Genomic DNA, 25,139 nt, shown 5'->3' with positions numbered 1-25,139 from the left:
ACACTAGTCTTAGAAGCTGATGTGACAAGAAAGGACTTGTCACATAGTGGTGTTCTCAAACCTCTTCCCATTCCTCATAATTACTTGTATACTTGAAATTGTTATTTCCATATTAAGATCTTTGATTCATTTGATTCTGATTGAACAATTCCATTCTTCATGCAATGTCAGATATTTTTTAAGACTTTTTATATTTAGGATCTGTTGGGAGACAATTTTTCAGGAGTTTCTCACATACCCCTATGTCTTATAAGGAATCACTCACTACTTTTGCTCCAGTTTTTTATAAATGATTGTGTGGTGAGCAATCTTGGAAGAGAGAGATAATGTCTTCCTCCAGAGCAATGGGCACTTTCTGTCCAGCATAAAATAATTAGGTTCAGGTTCCTCTCTTGTGTTACAATTTATGGTATATCATGTGTCATGTGATCTTTGCTTCACTCTGTGCCAGTTCGGGTTTGGAGAACTGGCACAACAAAGAAATAATATTGTGGCTACAGGAGTCTCAAAACTTTGGCCAGCCTCCATGGGAATGTTGTAGGCTAAATTTTCACTTGCAAGGAAGGTAAAATCTCAGATACTTTACTGTTTTTGACAGGGTCAAATTCAACTTTAGAAAGATGGCAATAATTTATAGTGCCACAAAAAGTGAATAAAATTGTCTATATGCTCACTTTTGATAACACTGGCTAGTATCTTAAAAGTAAAGTCTACACTGTCAACTTTGCTAATTCACAGTTTAAATAAGGTCGTTCCTTTGTTTAACTGTGTGCATTTTTTTGTAATTACTAAAGATGTATCACCGAGTGTTATAATTGCCTTTATTTGTTTACTCTCCAAATAGTCTCTCGACCTCTATAGTACAGGGACAAAGTCTAATGTAGTCCTTATTTAGGACCAAATTTAGTGCCCATCTATTAGGTAGTAAAAATATTTAGTAAATTTAATGAAGAAAAGGGTGTGTTACCTTTGCTGGCTTTGACTCTTTTTTCTTTAGATTATAACTATTCCATTGATATTTAATTTTCTTTAAGTCTTAAAATTTCCTCAAAAATATGCTATTTTTTTGACAGTCATTTCCCACTACCAATTTGTGTGCCTTCTTTTCAGCAACCTTTCTTTTCTTTGCCTGTCAGTTGAAGTAATCCTTCATTTCAAACTTCACAGACGAGAAAATTGATCATTTATAAGTCCTTTCACCCTGATAGCCCTGAAAAAGGAATCATTCATGTTTTTTAGTCATCTGTTTCTTGAAACCTAACAAACCTTAGTCTTCAATTCTACACACTCATTTTCTTGTCTAGCACCTGTCTCTTCCATTAGCAGTGGTGTTTTTTGTTTATCCTTTTGGACAAATTTGTTTCTCTAATCTCTGCATGGTGAAATTTTATTTGCTTTCATGATTTTCGTTCTAGCAGAGAGTTGAAAATATTTCTTTCTGTTGGGTGATGTTAGCAGTAATTTCTGAAATTCTCATTCACCTATACCAGATTAGCTTGTTTTCAAATTGTAATTCAAAAAATAAATATTACAAACATACTGAATGAAATGATTAAAATCACATATATGCACATCTATATGTATATGTGTTTTCAAATCTGAATGTATATATGATGATACTGTATCTTAGTACAAACTTTCAGGACAACAAATTGCCCATTTCCATCAAGAGTTTTAAAAAATGAGAATCTGTATGTTTGTCGTGAAGTATCTTAAGTACATGATCTAAAACATAGTACAAAATAAAGCTTTTTGTTCAAGATAGCCATTGCAACATTATCACTAGAGACCACAATTTTTAGAATCTTAAACATCCAACATTAAGAAAACTAAGCAACTTAAAAACACTGTATAGAGAAACTTAATTAACATTAAATAGATATGTGATGTTTAGTGAAAAAGAATGAAGAAATCACTTTGAAATGCTATCAGTGATTATATTGAGGAAATGAAACTATTTGGATTTTTGAAAACGTAATAATGTATTTCCAAACCCTTAATTTGCTTCTCTGTAAAATGGGACTAACAAAGTTAGCTGTCTGAGAGAGTTTTTCCAAGAATTAATGAAGTAATGAATTTCAGTTTCTTGTGACAGTGGCTGATACATGGCAAAGTGTGCCATTAGAAATAGCTGTTCTTATTACACAGATTAATTATTATTTTATCTATTATAAAAATATCTGGCATTGAATAAAAACTCTTATTTTGCTTGTGTGTTACATGAATTATAACTTTTAGAATTATATCCGTCATGCACATGAGGAGATGCTTCTGAAGTGATTTTAAAGTTATTACACTTCTTCAAAACAATTTTGTTACTTTATGTTGTTTCCATAACATTTTTACATTATTATTTTATACTTGAGAATATGAAGTTGAAACAGACAAACCTCTTTAGGCATATATTATGTCTTTAAAATATAGTCTCATTTAATCTTCACTATAACTCTGTTAGGTAGGTATTATTATGTTTATTTTTAGTTAAGTAATCTGGTGTTAAGTCAAGGAAATGAGTGAATTTTCTATGACTTGCTTTTAAATATTACTCAACATTACATTTGTAAATTTATCCATGTGAGATATAGTTAGGCACACTCATTTTTTAAGGCTGTATCCTATTCCATCATATGAATACAGCAATTTTTGTTTCCTGTCTGTGGAATTTTTTCTAGTGTTTTCTTATAGCAAACAATGTTTCCATAGACATTCTTGTACCTGTCTTCTTGGCAAATGTGTAAGAATTTTTCTGGAAGATATACCTAAAATTAAGATTGTACTGAATATGCACATTTTTAACTTTGCAAGGTAATGCCAAAGAGCTATCCAAAGTGGCTTACAGTGTATAGTCCTACTAGCTGTGGATGAGTATCCCCACAGCAACAAATCTTCACTTCTTTGCATAGTCAGACTTTTTGCTTTCTACCGGTGAAATGACAGTAATGATATTTCCCATGTTTTAAATATGTTTCTATATTTAGGAATAATAAAACTTTTTTCATTTATTGGCCATTTATGTTTTATTTGTAAAATACATGTTTTTATATCATTGACTCCTCCTCGTTTTCAAGTAGATTACTTAACTTTTTCCTCTTGATTTCCTTCCTTATATAGGTAAACAAATCTAACAAAAATATTACTTTATGAAACAAAAATGATAACTAATTTACTTGGCTTCCATTTAAAAAATTAAATTAAATTCTTAGTCATAAAAAGGAAAGTGCTGAACAAAACTACAGCTTCCATTATTGGCCATTATTCCATCAGTAATAATGGTTGGAATTACTATCTGCTATTTTGAGACTTATCTTTTTCAAACTTCCTTATGCAGTTTCTTTAAAAAGTTTTGTTTTATGAATGGTAAGTTCTAAATTTATTACCTTAGTTAAATTTTATTTTATGTATTACTTGTTTATACTTAATAAATTATTTCCTATGCCAAAGTCATAAAAATTTCTCCTATACTTTTGTCATGAAGTTTAAAAAAATTTGTTTTTGTAGTTGGCATGAAGTGGTAACTCTACTTCATTTTTTTTGGTGTTAATTATATATTCATAGCAACATACTAAATATTGCATATTTTAATCTAAGATTTGCAATGCTAGCTATCTTAGACATTGTGTTTTCATACATGCAGGGATTCATTCTCTTCTCTAAGCCTATTTATCTATTCGTGAGCCTATGCAAGATTGTCTTCCTTACTGCAGTCTAAGAATTCTAAGTCTTGATATCAGATAGCATGAATTAGTCACATTGTTTTCCTTCTTGAGTAGAGACTTGGGCTTTTGCTTGTCCATATAATTTTTAGGTTTCTTTGGCCAGAGATGTGTATCTAATATTCTAAGTCATATTTATTGAAAAGACAATTCTTTCCTCATTGATCTGAGGGCGTCTTTTTTAAAAAGATCATGTACACATATGGGTTAGTCTATCTTTGGATTCTATTATTTTCCCATTGGTCTATGGTTTATACTTATCTTTATAACTGTTGGTGAGAGCAACTTCTTTCATTGGTTCTTCTTAAAGAATGTTGCCCTTGTTAGGGTCTGGCAGAAGCAGATTAGGAAACTGATAATGGACTGAGGAAAACAGGACAGAGAAAGATACGGAAGGAAAGGAGCAGTAGCAGACAAATCGCATAGAAGATAGTTTCAGTTTGAACCCACGGGGTATTACTCTGCATTATAATTTATATATGTGTATATATATATATACATATATATATATATATATATATTTTGATTGTTGGAGTCATGCTTTTTTACTTTTTTTTAATTTTAGATTCAGGGGTACATGTGAAGGTTTATTACAAGGGTATATTCCATGATGCTGGGGTTTGGGCTTCTATTGATGTCATCATTCAGATAGTGAACATAGTATCCAATAAGAAGTTTTTCTTTCAGCCCTTTCCCGCTTTCCTCCTTCCTGACTTTTGGATTCTCATCTGTGTGTACTCAAGGTTTAGCTCCCACTTATAAGTGAGAACATGCAGCATTTGGTTTTTTGTTTCTGTGTTAATTCCCTTAAAATAATGGTCTCTATCTGCATCCTTTGTTGCTGCAAAGGATATAATTTTATGCTATTTATGGCTATGTGGTATTCCATTGTATGTATGCACCTGCACTTGCATGTTTATCGCAGCATATTCAAAATAGCAAAGACATGGAATCAATCTAGGTGTTCAACAATTGTGGGCTGGATAGAGAAAATGTGGTACATATATACAATGGAATTAAATTTATATTTTATGACTAGATTTGTAGAAAGATGAATAGAATTCAGACTGGATGTACTATTTTATGGATTCATTATTACTATATTCATATTTTTCTTCTTATTCTAAAATAAAGTAAAAGCATTTGTGGGGCCCCACAAAGTATTGTGGGCCCAAAGCACAGTGCCTACTTGTCTAATAGATAAGTCTGCACTGACAAGGAAGCTTGGCTTTATGTTCTGCTATCTTAATATTGCTTAATTGGTGTCCCGACTCTCCCCTCTGAGTGCTGGGACAAGGACAGTCTTAGAAAAACAGAATGGCAGCTACTGGCTGTTAGAAATAAAAGTAAACTTAAGATCACAAAGGAGTCATGGAAAGAGGAAAATGAAAGTATCCTAGGGGATTCTAACACTATGCAATAAATAGTCTTGGCTGTTCTTGACTCTTCACATTTCCATATGGAATGAGAATCAGCTTGTCAAGTTTTACAAATTCCTGTAGGTTTATTAATTAGAAATGCTTTCATTCTATAGATGAATTTGGAGAGAAGGAACATCTTTCAAGTATTGAATTTTCCAAGTCATGAAAAAATTATATATCTCTATTTAAGCCTCAAAATACAATTTTATAATATTCCCCAAAGACATCTCGAATTTTTTATTAAATATATTCCCAAGTATTCAGTATTTTTATTCTATTGTAAATAAACCATATTAAATTTTTTTATCTTCTATTTATTTCTAGTATACAGAAATACAATTGATTGTTGAAGAATTATTTTGATCCAACAAAGTTGCTACATAATCTCATAAATTTGAATAATTTTTTGATAGATTCTTCTAGATTTTCTTTCTACATAATTCTATCATTTGAGAATGACAGTTTTGTCTACTTCTTTCCAGGTTGTATACCTCTTATTTCCTTTTCTTGGCTCAGTACATTGGCTAGAACCTCCAGAACAATGTTGTATAGAATTCGTAATGGAAGATATTTTTATTCTCTGATTTTAAAAGAAAATTCCCATGGTATTACTGTTAAGAATAATGTCTACTCTGGGTTTTGCTAAGCTTCTTTTCTAAGATTTATATAATTCATCCTCTCCAGATTTAGTTTTTGTTTTTCAAGTTTATTTCCCCCATGAATGACACAGAATTTTATGATTGTCATATACATTTTCAACTTGTTAATGCTAATAATCTATTTTCAATTTTATATTACTCAATTAAATATGCTAATATTTTGTTTAATTTTTCATCAGTGCTCATGAGTGAAAAGGGCTTATAATCTTCCTCTTATTTTCTTTGTCAGATTTTTGTATTGAAGATCATGTTAAGCACATTAAATATTGATTAATTATCTTTAATTCCATAGAACTATTCAGGTTTTTAATTTCTTCTGGAGTCCGCTGTGGTAACATAGTTCTCAGAGAAGTTGTTTATTAATCAATTCTCAAACTAATTGGAATAAGGTTGTTACTAGTATTGTCTTACTAGTTTTAGTCATTTAATGATTTATTTTCAGAAATATTTTTATTGAAAAATGTTATGAGAGATTTACCAATTTTATTAGTCTTTATAAGTAACCAACTTTTGATATTTTATCCTATTTTACATTATTGTACTTTATTTCTGATCTTATTTTGATTGTGTCCTTTCTTTTACTGTATTTGGCTTTATTTCACTCTCTTTGGAGGCATACTCCATTAATTTTAGTTTCTTCTCTTCTAAAATATACATTTAAAACTAAAGTGCTTGCCTTAATTACTAATCTAATTTCATTCTAACTGTATAATATACAATTAAAATTATTTTCCAATTTTAATTTATTTTCTTCTTGGACCTATGCTTATTTTGAAGTACATTTTAACATTTCCAAACATATGTGGATCTCCTAGCTATATTTTTGTTATTGATTTGTAGCTTAATTACTCTGCATTCAGAAAATGTCCTCTGTATTATTTAATTCTTTAAAATTCATTGAAGCTTGTTTTAAGACCTAATAATGATCAACTTTTAAGTGTTTTCTCAACTTAAGAAAAATCTTTAAGTTAAATTCTTTAAATTGTTTCCTGTGTAACTGAAAAAAGAGAACATGTTCAATAAGATAAATTTTGTTAATTGTATTGGTCAAATCTTGACTATTTTTACTAATTTTTGTCCTGTTGATATATTATTGATTCTTGAAATGCATGTATTATAATCTCTCATCATTGTTGGAATTTATTTATTTCTCTTTATAGTTCTGTCAAGTTTTTCCTTCATCTATTTTGAGGAAATTTAGAATTGTTACATATTCCTGGTAAATGAAAATTTTCTCATTAATTATGACTTAAAAAAAATCTTTAGTAATGCCTTCTGCCTTAAAGTGTATTCTGATGGATACTTATATGGATTCATCTGCTTCCTTTCAGTTATTACTTGAATGCTCTTTCTATTCTTTGTTTTCAATTTTTCTGTTTCCTCGTCTGGTAAATATGTTCCTTGTAAATGTAATATATAAGTTTGTTCTTTGATTTAGTATGCAAGTATCATCTTTTAAATGGAATGCTTATCTCATTTAATTCTAACCTAGTTATTGATATATTTGATTGTAAATCTACTATCTATAGACTTTGTTTCTCCTTCTATCTCTGTTTCTGTTTCTTTCCTTTCTTGCCTTCCAAAAAGAATATTATAAGGCCATGTCCATTTAACAAAAAAGTGCAGGAAGAAATGAGAAGAAGGCAAAGAAAGGAAAGGCCTTCCAAAAAGGCAAGAAAGAAAAGAAATAGAAACAGAGATAGAAGGAGAAAGAGAAAGATATATTTATTGAAACAATGAAGTTTTATTGAAACAATATATTTATTGAAACAATAAAGTTATCTTTATTGTTCTATTTTTTATATTTTAAGAATAACACAGTATTTCTATTTGTTTAGGGATTATATACTAACCAATATCCCTCACTCAGCAAAAGTGTAATATTATTTGGTACTTTTACTATCTGCTTATACAAAGAACTGAGAACACTTTAACTCCATTGATTACTGCTCCTGATTTATATTCTATCATTATAGGACATTTCACTTGATTTTAGCCAAAAGGCCGAGAGGTGATAATTGTAGGACATTAAAAACATCTCTCTATATTTTTCAACACAAAATGTTATTATTTCTTTATATAATTAATGCTTATTTAAATTTGCCAATATATTTTCATTTTTATGGCTTCTCATTTCTTCCTGCACTTTTTTTGTTAAATGAACATCGCCTTATAATATTTTTTCTTTCTATTAGGGAATGCTCACCTTTTAGTACTGAAATACCTAGCACAGAAGAGGTGTTCACTAAATGTTTTCTGAAGAGAAATAATAAAGTCTTCATGACCTTTAACCTTTTTAAAAAGACCAGTACCCAAATTTTCACTCATTCTTGGAAAATTGTATATATATATAAATATATTTTCAAGGCATAGTGTGATGATTTTATACACACATACACATATTACATTAATCAACCCTCCATCATCATATGTAGTTACCCTTATTGTGTGTGTCTGTGTATGATGAAGATACTTAAGATCTACTCTTTTAGTACATTTTAAACAGTTAGTCCCCATGGAATCATTTTGCTTTTCCCTGAAGACCTTCTTTCAGTAAGTTTAGGTGTTTATTTGATAGAGTCAGCTTGTGGCAAATGATCATGACATTGTTTTTCTGAAACTATTTTACCCTCTTTCTTGGATATTTTTATTTAATATAGAATTCAGTGTTGGAAAATTTTTTTCAGTTCACTATATATATTTTCCACTGTTTACTTCTGACATATGTTCTGAATCTATGACCCTTTTATTTTCTTTTACTTTTTTATGGTAGTTAATACAGTGCACAGTGTAGTGTTGTTTCATCTGTTATCTATAGTACCTAGCATAGTAGTTAGCACAGTAAACAGGCCTCAGTGAATTCCCTTAAATGAATTTAAAATAAGGTTTTGATTTAATAGTAATGCTAAGAGATATGGTTTCCTCCAAACTCCTTATTTATAAATGATAAAGTTGATAGGTGATATATTAGATTCTCCCCAGCCTGCTATTATCAATCTTTCTTGGTCTTGTGAAATAAGAAATTTGTGATCAACTTGCCCTTGAGTTGGTCCTCACTATGTGGTTGCAAAACAGCTGTGCATATTTAATGATTATTCATAATTTTTCATTCATTATTTAGTATTGTGTAAGCTGTGAAGAGTAGTACTATGGTGTTAGTGGTTTCTTAAGAAATCTCATTTAAAACTTGATAGTAGAAAACTGGTGTAAAATACTACATTTATTTTTCAACTATATAATATAATTGTGCTGAGAATTCAGGGATATGTGCTAGAAGCATAAGAAAGAGGCTTTAGCCTCTGTGCTGGGTTTCCATCCTTCACAGATGTGTAACCACAGCCACCATCCCAGCATGTTGTGTACAAAACTGAGAAAGACTTGGAAAGCAGTGTTCACATCCCATTTGCTAACAATTGAATCCCATATCTTCTTAGTAGACTGTAGCTTGTATGAAATTTGTGGGATTGAGTGCTTATTATCATCAATTATGGAACTCATATACCTAAGGGATTAATTAAGATACTAAGTAGCATATCAACAAAAACTGGACAACTATAGTTAGATTAGAGCGGGTAATATAACCATATCTTCTAACCTCCCTCTTTCTACATGCAACCTCATTGCCAGACAATCATAGCAAATACCTTCTTTAAGAGGTTCATCTACAGAGTGTTGTTTTAGCAAAGGCACATGTGCCCATCTGTCTTAAAATCTTTAAAAGTAAAGAACTATTATCCAAAATACACAAAGAACTCTTAACACTCATTAAAAACCAGTAGGAGAAAACAGTAAAAATATCACAGTTTTAAAAAATTGTCCTATGCATCCCTTTCCTTTGGCTGTTCCCCAAGTTATATCATTCGTAATAAACTAGTAAAGTTTAAAAACAAAAACAAAACAAAACAAAAAACAAGTCAGTGATTTCCAGGGCTTACACGGGGAAGGGAGGGAGGCAGGAATAAATAAGCAGAGCACAGAGGATTTGGGTGGTCATAAAACCATTCCGTATAATACTATTACGGTGGACACTTGTCATTATACATTTGTCAGAACTCATAGAATGTACACCAAGAGTGATCCCTAATGTAAACGATCGACTTTGGGTGGTGATGAATTGTCTATGTAGGTGCAACAACTGTAACAAATGTACCACTTTGGCGGAGATACTGCTTGTAAGGGAGGCTAGGCATGTGTGGGCGCAGATGCTGTGGGAACTTCCTATACTTTCTGCTCAGTTTTGGTGTGAATCTAAAATTTCTCTAAACAATAGTTTATTTCAAAAAAACTATAATTGTTTCAGCTTTTCTGACTGTACTGTGGTCTTTCACCTGGGATATATTATTGGTGTCTTTATTTTTATTGTTATATTCACTATTTTCTTCATTTTGAGTTGACACATAATAATTGTACATATTTCTGGGACACAGAGTGATACTTTGATACATGAATGCAATGTGTAATGATCAAATCAAGGTACTTAGCATATTCATCACCTTGAATATTTATCATTTCTTTGTGTAGCAAACATAGACTTTTCTAGCTTTTTGAAAATCTACACTAAATTGTTGTTAACCATATTCACCCTACAGTGCTACAGTACAAAATATAAAGAAATAAAATGAAAAGCAATTACCTATGACTTTTCATACAAATGGAGCAGGTGTTTTTCATTTTTGCTTATTACTTTCCTATTGCTATTTGCAAATAGCTTATTTTACACAGTTTATGTCAAGTATAAATCACAGTCCATGCTTTCTTTTGTGCCACTTGAAATTATATTACAAACAGTTGTCTCCTCTTAGTCTTAATAATGATCATTTTTCATAGCTATGTAATATCCCAAATGTATTAATGTACTATGATTTAGCAAGTCTTTCCCTATTGTTGAACATTTATTCTATTACGGGTAAAGCTGCATTGAATATTTTTTAGGAATATATTTTATCACCTTTGTTGAATTATTTCCTTAGGAGAAATTTCCCAAAATGGAATAACTATAGCAAGGGCATGAAAAGCTTTGTTTTTTGCTACTTATTACCATAGTCCTTTCAGAAGTGTTCTATTAATCTATACTGACATAGTAGAGTAAAAATGCATTGATTTAACTACATTTTGGGGGCCATTGAATACTATCACCTCTAATAATCATTTAGTAGTCATCATAGGCATTCTGTAAACTGATTTAATTATTTTATAAAGAATTTTGCTTTGATAATAATGTCTATAATAGAACATTAATATCAAATGACCATAACAGGTCAGTATTACCATATTTCCTGATGGTAATTCTATACTTAACAATGTGTGAACATCAGTCTTACAAAAAAAGACAAAATTAATATTTGAGACCAGCTGATTAATGAATGACAATTTAGCATCGTGCATGCAATAGTATATAGTTTTGAAAGTTTGAAAATAGCTTCATTTCTGAAGTAATTTAAACACTTACTCTGGTAACTGTTAAAATAATCAATCTGCTTAGCAGTCCTTTTCATAAATATTGCGCACTGTAGGGCAATTTCCATTTAATAGGTAAATTACCAGTTCAGAAGTGTGAGTTTAACATTACTAAGTGCGACGAAGGAGGGCAGTAGCAGACCTTCAAATTTTCTTAATCATGGACTGTCAAACACTTTTTTACTGTTCCAATGTAGACATGGCTTTGAGAATACAGATACAGAGAATACAGGCTCAGCAATGCCAAGACAGATTTAGTATTTAAAGTTCAGTCAAATACCAAAAGACCCAGAGGTTTTCTTCTGTACTAAAATAGCAAATCCCATTACTTTGAAAATCAGAAGAGAATAGAGTACCTCACCATCTTCCCCATATAGTTCCCTAATGCTTTCATTACCATTGCAATAGATAACGTTGCCTTTCACAGTGGTTTTGCAGATTAGATGATTATACAGTCAACTTTTGACTATGCTTGATAATATGGAGTTAATAAAACTCGCTTGGTCAAAATTAATATATTTCTACCAATTTGGTCAGTTTCTAAACGCATTCTCCAAATAATCAGTCATAAAAATCAGTCTGGTCTGTACCTTTCTAACAAGTATATGGATTTCATAATAAATTAAATCTGGATTTCTTTTCACTCTCCAAGATTAAGTTGTTGGTCACCTTAAGGGAACACTAATTTGCAAGTTGTTTTATAAGTTTTTTTTTCTGGACTAAATAATATTAAATTTCTGTCTAGATATACTCTAATATTGGTAGGTAAAACTGACCTTCTTGTGGCATACAAAAATGGGAGCATGCAACTATTTTATTCTTCTTAGGTTTACCAATGTCCACAGTGAATATTTATATAGAGAAAAATAAATATCTGAAATTGATGAACATAATTTTAAAGAGAAATCAGCTCTTTGCATGGATCAGTAATACTTCTGGATACAAAAATTTATTAAGAAAAATTATCAGATTGGTAGACTGCTTGCTCTGTCCCAAGTAATAAGTACATGTTATTAACATATATTTGGCTAGCAAAAATCTAAAACTGAAGGTAAAAATATTCACTTAAAATGAAAGTGAGTTTTGTTTCAATTGCACATGCAGAATTACATAAATACATGCAATACCATATTGCGACTTGGAAACAGTGCTTTGGAGACAAATATATTATGCCAAAAAATAAATCATATCCCTTTAGAAGAGATTTCCTTTACTCTTTTAAGTCTTTGATTATATAATTGGAAAATAATAGGTTAATTTGATTAAAATACTAGAGAAAAACTGCTTAAAATGTTCACCACGTTTCTAGTCATTAACTTATGGATAAAAAACCTTGAAGTTGTTTTTATATTTTTTCTTCCCAAATCACTGTAGAACTACTATAGTTTTTTTTCAATAGAAGTACTGAATAGAATGTTTTGGTCAAAACCTTTCCTTCCTTCTTTTCCTTCCCTTCCCCTTCTCCTTTCTTCTCTCTCTCTCTCTCTCTCTCTGTCTCTCTCCCTCCTTCCTTTCCTTCCCTTCCCCCTCCCCTCCTCTTCCCTCCCTCCCTTTCTTCCTTCTTTCTTTCCTTCTTTCCTTCCTTGTCTCTCTCTCTCTCTCTCTCTCTCTCTCTCTCACACACACACACACACACACACACACTCTTTAAAAATGTTTGAGTGGTAATTATTTTCTAATGTAAGATTTAGATGTTTAGTAAGAAAGTTATACTTGTTATACTTCCTAGATATCAGTATAGATAAGAAACATTCACATTCAAGAATATGCTTGTTAAGCTAGGATTCGTAGCAAGTACAGTGAGTTATTGATGTTAAATAATTTAAGGGCTTCAATCCCTAGTTTATGGATTTCTCTGCCACGTGAACCACATATCCATGTTCATGTTCTTGCTGAACTTTTTATAGTCAATTTTCCATGCACTTGATATATAAATAATTTTTGAAGCTTGGGGAGGCACTTGGGCACAACAAAATACAAAGCATAAAAATGGGTGCTCCGGTTTTGTCTCAACTTTAATAATTTCCTTCCTCCCCTTCCCCTTCCCTTCCTCCTCCCTCCTTCCTCTCTCCCTCTGCTCCTTTTCCTTTCCCTTCTCTTCCTCTTTCTCTTCTAGTTTGGCAATCAGATAACCACAGAGTGTTGGTTTAAATTTCCTCATTTCAAATCCTTGTGTCTCCACTTATAAATTATTTAAGTTATTTAACATCTTTAAGCCTTTGTTTCACCAACAGTAAAACAGACTATTTTAACATTAGACATGACGAAAAGTTTTCATCTAAAGTTTCAAGTCTGAGAGACTCATAGTGACTTCCTGTATTGGGAGATTTTAAAGATGCATTCGAACTGAATAGGACAGTAGGCCATAATCAATTATTTAATGTCTACTAGCAGATTGGGAGATTAGAATTATTATCCAGGCCCAAAGTATTTGCCATTTTTAATCTTAGAACCCAGGCCAAAGGGCTAAAAAATAATCAGACAGGTTTACTTTTCTCAGTGTGGCTAAATAGTCTATTTTTACTAAATATATTTCAGGATAATTTGGTGGAATCGAATTCTTGATACTCGCATTTCTTTTTTTCTTACAGAAAATGTAACATTACATATCAAACCACTATCAACATTAAAGTGAAACATGTAAGTTTTAATGTGGATATTTTTAATATAAAGCATGATAAGAATTCATACAATAATATATGGCTTTGAATGATTAATTCATTTGACTTAGCAACTTTGAAAAGAAAATCAGTAATTTGGAGAGTATTGAAAAGCCTATTGCCTTGGGTGCTTTGCCCAGGATATTGAAATATATATATATATAATTCAATAAAATATAATAATATACCAAGATGAACTGAAATATAGATAACTTAGAGCTCATTATTTCCAGAAAATAAGAATATGTCATGTTTAAAATATCATAACTTGAAGGAAGTGATTAGAATTTCAGAATGGTAGAACAGAAAGAACCCTTAAGAACAGTGGTTCACAAAATTTGCTATACAGGAAGCTGTCCTAGCAGTATTTAAAAGAAAAGCAAACAAAGCCAGGTAATACACACAGACATCCAGTTTCAGTTGGTCTGAGGTTGTTCCCAAGTATCAAATGTATTAAAAGCACCCCAGATAATTATGTACCAACATCGTGATTTGTGGATGGGGTAAAGAGGCCTACAAAGGGAAATGTATTTATGCATATGCACATACTTAGTGGCAGAATTGTGCCTAAATCCCATTTTCTCATTGATGCAGCTTCATTGCTCTTGTTTTTCAAGTGTGGAATATAAAAATACCAAATATTTTCATAATTATGTATCTATAGTAAACCTTGGTATAGCTATTAATTTGTGCTGTAATAGTAATACAACCGCTTGATAAAGAACATTTTAGTTAAAAAATGATACTAATTGACAACTTATTTAAGCAAAAATGAAAAGTCATATCATACTATATATGCATATATATATGCATATATATTTATGCATATATAATTGCATAAATATAAATGCAATTAATGAAAATCAATCTTGATGTGACACATGTTATAACTATGTTCAAACATGTAAAATAATATGTAGTTGTTAATCATGAAAATGTAGAGAATCTCAACAGGGAAATAGAGACTATAAAATATAACCAAATAGAAATTCTATGCCTAAAAAGATAATATGAGAAAAATAAGGTAAGTTGGAGGTCACGTTGGAGATGACTAAATAGTCAGTGAACTTGCACATAGATTATTAGAAATTATACAACCTGAAAAAGAGAAAGTAATAAAAACTTTTAAAAAAGAATGAGTTATCAGTGATCTCTAGGACAGTATCAAATATCTAGTATTTGTGAGATTGAAACCCTAGAATCAGAGAAGAGAGTGGATGGAAAAAATATTTAGAAAAATGGTGACTACATTTTTCTCACTTGGTGAAAACCATTTATTTATAGATTTCATATAAGCATTAAACTACAAGCAGTGGAAAAACAAAATCACACCTAGGTACATCAAAGACAAATTGCTGAAAAAACAAAGATAAATGGAGAATTTAGAGGGCAGACCTTAAATACAGGGAAAGAGCAATACAAGTAACTTCTGATTTCCCACTGGAAATTTTATATCTTGTGAAATATCTTTCAAGAATAAAAATAAAATTAAGACATTTTCAGATAAATTAAAATGATGAAATTTGTTACCAGCAGACCTACAATATAAGAAGTGGTAATGTTTTTCAGGCTGTAGAGAAATGATACCAATGTAAAGATAGGAAGTTCCTGTTTAGGAAGAATTGGTACCAGAAAGGGTAAATATAGGTGTTAATATAAATGATTATTTTTTCCTATTTATTTGAAATGCGTGTTATTTAAAACAAATATTATAACATATGGTGAGGTTAATAACACATGTAGATGTAATACATATGGCAGCCATAGCATAAAGTGGGGGGAGTTCAAGATTCTCACATTTATGTGAAGATGTATAATGTTAAAACTAAGTACCTCAGGAAAACTTAGGAAACAAACCATTAAAAATTAACTCCATGAGGTATAACAAAGAGGTAAAAGATAAATTAAAAAGGAATTATAAAAAATATTCAATGAACTTGAAAATAGGTCAGAAATCAGTAATACAGGAACAAAAGACAGATAAACAGAAAACAATTCGTAAAATGGGAGATGTAAATCCAACCATATCTACAAGTATTTAAATCCATACATATCTATAGTTACATTAAATTTAAATAAACTAATTATGATAATTAATAGTAATAATAGCCCATATGAGTGAAGAAAAGGAGAGAGCAAGACTTCAATATATGTTGTTTAGAAGTGATGAAGTTTAATTTTAATTTTTGTTTTTTGTTTTACTTAGTTTTCCTTTTTATTTTTATTTTTATTTTTTTGGTACATGAAGAAGTTCTTTGGTGGTGATTTCTGAGACTTTGGTGCACCCATCATCCAATCAGTGTACACTGTAACCAATGTGTAGTCTTCTATCCCTCACCCCGCTCCTACCCTTTCCCCCAAATTCCCAAAGTCCATTGCATCATTCTTATGCCTTTGCATCATCATAGTCCTCATAGCTTAGCTCCATTTACGAGTGAGAGCATATGATGTTTGGTTTTCCATTCCTGAGTTACTTCACTTAGAATAATGGTCTCTAATTCCACCCAGGTTGCTACGAATGCCATTATTTCGTTCCTTTTTGTGACTGAGTAGTATTTCATGGTATGTATACAGCACATTTTCTTTATTCGCTTGTTCATTGACGGGCATTTTGGCTGGTTCCATATTTTTGCAATTGCAAATTGTGCTGCTATAAACGTGCTTGTGCAAGTATCTTTTTTGTATAATGCCTTCTCTTCCTTTGGTTAGATACCCAGCAGTGGGACTGCTTGATCAAATGTAGATCTACCTTTAGTTCTTTAAAGAATCTTGACACTGCTTTTCACAGTGGTTGTACTGGTTTACATTCCCACCAACAGTGTAAAAGTGTTCTCTTTTCACCACATCCACGCCAACATCTTTTTTTTTTTTTTTTATTATGGTCATTCTGGCAGGAGTAAGATGGTATAACATTGTGGTTTTGATTTTCATTTCTCTGGTAATTAGTGTGCATTTTTTCATATATTTGGTGGCCATTTGTGTATGTTCTTTTGAGAATTGTCTACTCATGCCCTTAGGACACTTTTTGATGGCATTATTTGTTTTTTTTCTTGCTGATTTGTTAGAATTCTTTCCTCGTAGATTCTAGGTGCTAGTCCTTTGTAGGAAGCATAGTTTGCCAAGATTTTTCTCCCAGTCTGTGGCTTGTCTTTTTACTCTGCTGATTATTTCTTTTGCTGCGCAGAAGCTTTTTAATGTAATTAGGTCCCATTTATTTATTTGTGTTTTTGTTGCATTTGCTTTTGGGTTCTTGGTCATAAATTTTTCGCCTAAGCCAACATCTAGAAGAGTTTTTCTGATGTTATCCTCTAGAATTTTTATGGTATCAGGTCTTGTGTTTAAGCCTTTGATCCATCTTCAGTTGCTTTATGTATAAGGTGAGAGATGAGGATCCAGTTTCATTCTTCAACATGTGGCTTGCCAATTATGCCAGCACCATTTGTTGAATAGGGTGTCCTTTTCCCACTTTATGTTTTTGTATGTTTTGTCAAAGATCAGTTGGTTGTTAGTATTTAGGTTTATTTCTGGGTTCTCAATTCTGTTCCATTGGTCTATGTGCCTATCTTTATATCAGTACCATATCATTTTGGTAACTGTAGCCTTATAGTGTAGCTTAAAGTTGGGTAATGTGATGACTCCAGATTTGTTCTTTTTCTTAGTATTGCTTTGATTATGAGAGCTCTTTTTTGGTTCCATATGAATTTTAGAATTTTTTTTTCTAGTTCTGTCAAGAATGATGATGGTATTTTGATGGGAATTGCATTGAGTCTATAGGTTGCTTTTGACAGTACGATCATTTTCACAATATTGATTCTACTTATTCATGAGCATTGGATATTTTTCTATTTATGTCATCCATCAAACTTCGAGGAGTGTCCCTTCTATGCTAATTTTGCAGAGTATTTTATTATAAAGGGATGCTAGATTTTGTCAAATGGTTTTTCTGCATCTATTGAGATGATCACACGATTTTAGTTTTAAATTCTGTATATGTGATGTATTACATTTATTGACTTGTGTATGTTAAACCATCCCTATGTCCCTGGTATAAAACCTACTTCACTGTGATTTATTATTTTTTGATACACTGTTAGATTGAGTTAGCTAGTATTATGTTGAGGATTTTTTGCATCTATGTTCATCAGGGATATTGATCTATAGTTTTCTCTTTTTTTGCTATGTCCTTTCCTGATTTTGATATTAGAATTATTCTAATTTCATAGAATGATTTAGAGAGGATGCTCTCTTTCACTATCTTTTGGAATAGTTTCAGTAGGATTGGTACCACCAAATCTTCTTTGAATGTCTGATAGAATTCAGCTGTGAATGGTCCTGGACTTTTTTGTTGGCATTTTAAAAAATTACTGTTTCAATCTCACTACTTGTTATTGGTCTGTTCAGAGTTTTTCTTTTTAATGAAATTATGAGTTCACTGTCCCCGATGGAGTTGGAATGGCAGAGATCTCTTCAAGCTTAACTCTTTCTCTCATGGTGTAGACTTTAATTTTTTCCTGGTGTTTTATTCACTGAGTTGATGATTCAGGCTTCAGGCCAATAAGGGAGGTATCCCTGGGTAGGCACTGTTTGTGGCTAAGGCAGGTGGGTAGATGTAACACTCAATGGTGGGCTGAGGTCCCAGCCTTGATGAGGGTGGCTGGGGAGCTTTCAATTAGATGTGCTGAGGTTGTATCAGAGTGAACAGTGGGAACTACATTAGCTCCCCTGCCAGATCAGCAGGAAAGCGATTTACTTCATAGACTCACTCTTGGCCTAGTGTTTCAGCTATTCAGATCAGACAGGCACCTCTTTTCATCTATCAGAAAGTTGATGTTCCAAGTAGGGGGAAATTGTGACTCTGCCCCTTGTGCAGGCCTGAATCTGGGGGGCACTTCTCCTGTGGAGCTGTACTCACCCTGGATTGTTCCAGAGAGACTGTCTATAGGTGAATCCATGCTGCATTCCTGTGGGAGAAGCCCCAGCTATGTCTACGGTGGACTGCCAGGGGTATACAAGGACCCCTTTTCCAAGGCCCTTTATGGTTACAGGGGCTGTCTGCCTGTTGGGCTATAGGTGTAGACTTTCCCTACTGCACCCAACACTGCAATTGTGTCTCTGCTGTGAGAAACTACCCACCAGCAGAAAGATCTGGAACTTAAATCCTGTTGTTGAGATTCTTTCTTCCCACAGGGTCATCTCTTGGTGTCGTGCTCCCCCCTTTCTCTAGGGATGAGGCTTCCTGAGAGCTGAACTGCAGTGAATGTTACTGCTCTTCTGGGTCTAGCCACCCAGAGGGGCTACCAGGCTTCAGGCTGGCGCTAGGGAATGTCTGCAAAGAGTCCAGTGACACGACCAGTCTTCAGGTCTCCCAGTTGTGGATACCAGCACCTGCTCTGGTGGAGGTGGCAGGGGAGTGACATAGACTCTGTGAGAATCCTTGGGTTGTGGATAGGTTTAGTGTGCTGGCTTCCTCAAATGTTGGTTATGCTAGCAGTGAAGTTGTCATGTGGTCCAACTCAGGACCTCTAGTTAGCCAAAGTGTTGCAGGTGGTGGTATTAACTGTTGTTTACTCCTTCCTAGGAGCAGTGCTATTCTGTCCTGAGTTGCTGTGATGGACTGAGTTGGTTGGCCTCCAGCTAGGAAGTGGTACTTTCAAGAGAGCCCCACCTGTGGTATTAACAGTGGGATTTGAGCTTGCCCTACTTGGTGAGGGCAAGTATACTGGTTTCTTAAGCAATGGGCAGGGCCATAAAGCCCTCAAGAGTTTATATCTTGTGTTCTGCTACCAGAGTGGATAGAAAAATACCATTAGGTGGAGGCAGAGTTTGGTGGGCCTGAGCTCAGATTCTTCTAGGGGAGGGCTTGCTGGGGCCACTGTGGGTGATGGGAGGGTGGTTCTTAGGCCAATGAGGTTATGTTCCAGAGGCTTGTATGGTTGGCTCTGCTTAGCAGTATTGTTCACCAGGAAAGTGGGGGATAGCCAGTAGCAAAAGGCCTCCTCCAGTTCCCACACAGTTGGCAAGGCCAGTCTCACTCCCACAGTGTCCCGATAACAGCACAGAGTTTAGGTTCAGGCAGTCTGCACGCAGAATTCAGAATTACCTCAGGCCATAAGCTTCCCCACTGAGAAAGCAAGCCACACCCCTCCCCATCTACTCACAATGGCAAGGGCTCCTGCACTCATATCTTCAGCAGTTCCCATTTGCTCCCAAGATTCTGCTCAAGAAAGTTTGTGCTAAGTAGAAATTATCACAATATCCAGTTAGAAGCTTCTTTTGCCCTTGACCCCTCCCTAATTCCGCTGGCTGCCTTCCCTGAGGGCTTCTGTGAGAAACAGTCAGGGATGGCTTCCCAGGGCTCCAGCTGGAGACTGGGAGCGCCTACAAGACTCTTACCATGGCTGTTTCCACTTTTATGTTTCACACAGCTCCCTAAATTCATTCCGGCTCCAGGTGAGGTGAAGTCCTTCTCTTGTGATCTGGATTTTTAGATTCCCCAGTGGGGATGTATGTTGGGAGGCAGGCTTTTCCCCTCTTACACTTTGGGAACTCACAGATTTTGCCTATCTCAAGAAACAGGCATTTTGCAGTGGTGTGCCATTTCTTTCAAAAGATCCGTGACTTCTTTCAGTTTTCTTAGTATATTCCTTTGCTGATTCTTGGAACAAAAGTTCACAGTGTGAATCTTCACACATTGTTTTGTCTGTTCAAGTGGGACATGAACGTTAACTCTGCCTCCTATCTGCCTCTTCGTCTCCTACTCAAGAATTTGTTTAACATTTTTAAAAGGCCACATTTTAAATAGTTATATATTATGTATGGAATACCCTTGATATACATATCTATAGAATATCCTCATTTGGCACAGCTTAAAATGTCTACTATTTGGCCCTTTAACAAAAAGTTTACTCACACATGATATAAAGTTCTATTTTAAGAGAAAGAAATGAAGTACTAAGTAAACTCAAAGGGGAAGGAAGTAATTAATAAAGATGAGAGCAGAAATCTGTGAAATACAAAATAAAGAAACAAAGTCAAAAGTTGGCTCTTTGAAAAGATCAACAGAAGTCATAAACCCCTACTTAATCAAAAATATGATACTGCAAAAATTGCGCATATGAGAAATTTACAAATGGATTGTATTAGAGATCCAACAGACATTAAAATATTAAAAAGAGACTATCATGAACAACTTTATGGGAATAACTTCACAATTAAGATAGAATAAAATTCTTTGTAAAGTGCAGCTTACTATAATTGAGAGAAGATGGGATAGAAAAACTGAATGGTTCTATATTTGTTAAAACCTTGGAATTGGATACTAGAGGAAGCACACACACATACACACACACTCACACAAAGAAAACTCTAGGGTCAGATGGTTTCATTGGTGAATTCTTTGAAAGATATCTCTAGTTTATATCTGTAGCTACATCCCTCTGTCATTCTTCTGCTACAACCTCATTTCATGTATAGGGCTTCTCTTAGAGACTTGTTGTCTACACACTTGACATTTCTGTTTTGTACCCTGAAAAGAACCCCAATTATGACTCTCTCTCTCTTCTTGTTCCACTCTCTTAGGTTCTCTCTTCCAGCAACAACACAGTGAAGCCTTTCTACTTTTCTATGTTATATGTCCTACTCTCCTTGGTCCCAGGATGGCATGCATCCTGCTGTCTTCATGGAGACCCACATGGTGCTGATGAAACCTGAAGGGAAACAGGTTTGCACATAGGGTAGATTAAAAAAAAGTGACCTCCATCAAAGTGATTGTCTTTATACTTAGCTTTATTCTGTGGTTAGTAGTTAGATTGTTGAGGTGAAAGGCCAACAGGGGTTAGTAGGCCACATAAATGTGTGAATCAAGTTTGATATAAGTATATCAGACAATGATGGAGCTTCTCATAGCTTGAGAATATATTCTCATGTAAGGCCATTTAATGTTTTCTTTCTTTCCTTTTTTTTTTTTTTAAGCACTGCATACTTTTACTAAGGCTGTTTGGCTGTCAGTTTTGCTACTGGATTAGTCACGTTATCTAAATTTTTGTCATTCAGAATTGTTCTATTTTATTTATTTAGTTTGGTGACATCAGCAAGATGGTGGAATGTGACTTCCCAGTAATCAGCTCCTCACAGAACATCAATACAGACGACTATCCACACTCAAAAATGCCTTCATAAGAGCTAAGAAACCCAGATGAGAGATATAGCACCTGGGTATAGTACAGAAATAAGAAAGATGTAAAGAAGAGGGTAAAAAGGACAGTTTTATGTGTTCTGTATCACTCCTCCTCAAAACCCAAGTAGGACAGCATGGACAAAGATACTCCTATGTTGGAGAAAAAGAGGAAAGTGGGCATCAGACTTTGCCATGGACCCCAGAACCAGTCTGGCCCCAGTGCAACTTGGTGCCAGGCCTCCAGGCCCACATCAGAGGCCCTAGGCCCTAAGGCTCAACCCCTCAGATGTGGGTTCTAGGCCCAACCAAGTTTACAGACAAGTTCCAGGCATCCGGTCAGCACCCTTGAACCCAGCTTTCTGGCCCACTCTAGTGGCAGGCCAGCCCCAGTGACCCCAGGCTCCAGACTAGCCAGAGCCAGGACAAGAGCCCAGAAATAAATGCACACATTTATAGTCGATTGATCTTTGACAAAGGTGGCAAGAACACACAATGGAGAAGAAGAGTTTCTTCAATAAACCATGTTGGGAAAATTGAATATCCACATACAAAGAGTGAAATTGAACCCTCATCTCAAAGTATATAAAAAATCAACTCAAAATGCATTAAATACTTAAATATAAGGTCTGAAACTATAAAACAACTGGAAGACAACATAGGGCAGAGCCTCTTGGCATTGGCTTGGGCAATGAAGTTTTTGATATGACCGCAAAAGTAGAGGCAACAAAAAGCAAAATACACAAATGGGATGGCACACAAACTCAAAAGCTTCTGCACAGAAAGGGAAACAATCAATAGGGTAAAGAGACAACCTACAGAAGAAAATATTTGTATACCTAATACCTGAAAAGGGATTGGTTAATAGTCAATATCTATAAGGAACTCAAGCAACTTAATAAAAAACAAATAACCTGATTTTAAAATGAGCAAAAGACTTAAATAGACATTTCTCAAAAGAAGACATACAGAGAGCCAACCGGATATATACAAAAATTGTCAACATCATTAATCTTCATAGAAATGCAAACTAAAGCTGCAATGAGATATTACATGACACTTGTTAGAAAAGATTTTTTCAAAAAGATAAAAGATAAGTGTTGGAGAGGGTGTGAAAAAAACAGAACTTTTGTACACTGTTGGTTGGGTTGTAAACAAGTACAGTCATTACAGAAAACAGTTTGAAGATTTCTCAAAAAATTAAAAATAGAACTACTGTATGATCCAGCAATTCTAATTCTGGTTATATATTCAAAGGAAATCATATAAGTATGTTGAAGAGATACCCACATTCCTATGTTTATTACAAGCATTGTTCATAAGAGCCAAGATATGGAAGCAACCTGAGTGCTCATGGATGGATGAATAGATGAAGAAAATGTGGTATATGTAAACAATGCAATACTATTTAGCCTTAAAAATAAGAAGAAAATCCTATAATTTGCAACAGCATGGATAAACCTGGAAAACATTATGTCAAGTGAAATAAACCAGATTATAAAGAAATGCCTAATTTCATATGTGGAATCCAAAGAAGTTGAATTCACAAAAGGAGAGAATAAAATGGTGGTTCCCAGGTGCTGGGGGTGAGTGGGAAATGGGGAGATGTTGGTCATAGGGTACAAAGTTTCTGTTAGGATTAATAAGTTCTGGAGGTCTGTTGTACAACATGATGACATATAGTTAATAATAACTAATACTTGAAAATTTCTGGAAAAGCAGATCTTAAATGTTCTCACCTCAAAAATAACAAGTGTGTGAGGTGATGGATATGTTAATTAGATTTATTTAATAATTTCACAATGTATCAAAACTTCAGATTGTACATGATAAATATATACAACTTTTATTTGGCAATTATACCTTAATAAAGCTGAGTAAAAAAATACAAATTTCTAAATGTGTTAATTTCCAAGAAGGGATAAAGACTCCCTGAGTCTAAGTCAGATAAAACTTCCCAAAGCAAATAAAAACAACAAATGTGCAAAGTTAAAGAATGAGTCAAGAGATACATATAATAACAGAAAGATTATTAAAGTATATATTAACAACATTTCTTTAAGTTGTGACAGGTAACAAAACCTGGGACCACAAGATGTACTATTTCTTATTCCTAATGGCAACTTTCCTTGAATTAGGCAAGGCCATGTTTATTAATTTATTGTCTCTATTTCGCTTTCGTATGAAAAGGATTTAGATTGGCTAAAATTAAACAACTAAGGTAAGATAAAATAATTTTAGGAATAGACGAGACTTAAGGCTTGGAAAAAATATTGAAAAGGAAGTTAATACTTTCTAGAAGGTAGCTGAGAGGATGTATATATTTCAATTTGGTAGAGGTAGAAATAGAAAGAACAGAGTAAGTCCTCACAAAAAAAGAAACTGAGCTGAGGCTTTAATCATCACATTTAATTGCTATATTATATATCATCTGCATAAATTCTCCTCAAGTTATAAATTAGAATCTTTTTTATTTGATAAAAATTGTATTAGAGAGATGACATTATTTGATCATAACCATACATCTAATTGGTGAAAGATCTAATTTAAAGGGGTCTAGTTGAATCAAAGGCACAAATTCTTTCCATTACACCTTTTCCATTAGGTAGATAAAGAGGCAGATGCAATTAATCAGATACAGAATTTTACAGCTATTTTATTACTAAAAAAGGACTACGATTTAAATTCCTGAGGATGAGATATTAACGAATCATGGGCTCTTTCACTGTGCAAAGCTCTCAAATATAATGTGTTAATATTATAAATAAGAGCTCTAAAGTTGTTTGTTTTCATTTCTAGCAGTAACTTTCAGAGAGTTTATATTTCTAGAAATTGTATATGCCTATAAATCTTATATTCCATGACCACATCTAGTCAGGAGAGAGATACTGTATCAAAGCTAATTGTTATATCCCTTACAGACATTAATAGCATTGCAGCCTAATGGCACTAAAGATGAGAATTTTGAGATCTTATAGCTGCAGGATATCAGAAATGATGTATGATACATCAGTCTTATAATACATTTTATTTTTAATTTAGAGTTTAAAAAATAA

General features: G+C 33.3%; 1 long non-coding RNA gene across 1 annotated transcript; it reads left to right on the top strand.

Moving 5' to 3' along the window:
• Nucleotides 1-13,840: 13,840 nt before the first annotated feature.
• LOC105376192 (uncharacterized) lies at nucleotides 13,841-23,441 on the top strand. The gene is made up of 3 exons (XR_930193.3): nucleotides 13,841-13,890; nucleotides 21,489-21,630; nucleotides 21,987-23,441. It is a non-coding gene; the product is annotated as an uncharacterized LOC105376192 (long non-coding RNA).
• The last annotated feature ends 1,698 nt before the right edge of the window (nucleotides 23,442-25,139 follow it).

This window comes from Homo sapiens, chromosome 9 (genome assembly GCF_000001405.40).
Source record: "Homo sapiens chromosome 9, GRCh38.p14 Primary Assembly".
Taxonomy (NCBI): domain Eukaryota; kingdom Metazoa; phylum Chordata; class Mammalia; order Primates; family Hominidae; genus Homo; species Homo sapiens.
The sequence above is the reverse complement of the archived record's forward strand: the minus strand, read 5'-3'. Positions and strand labels throughout refer to the sequence as shown.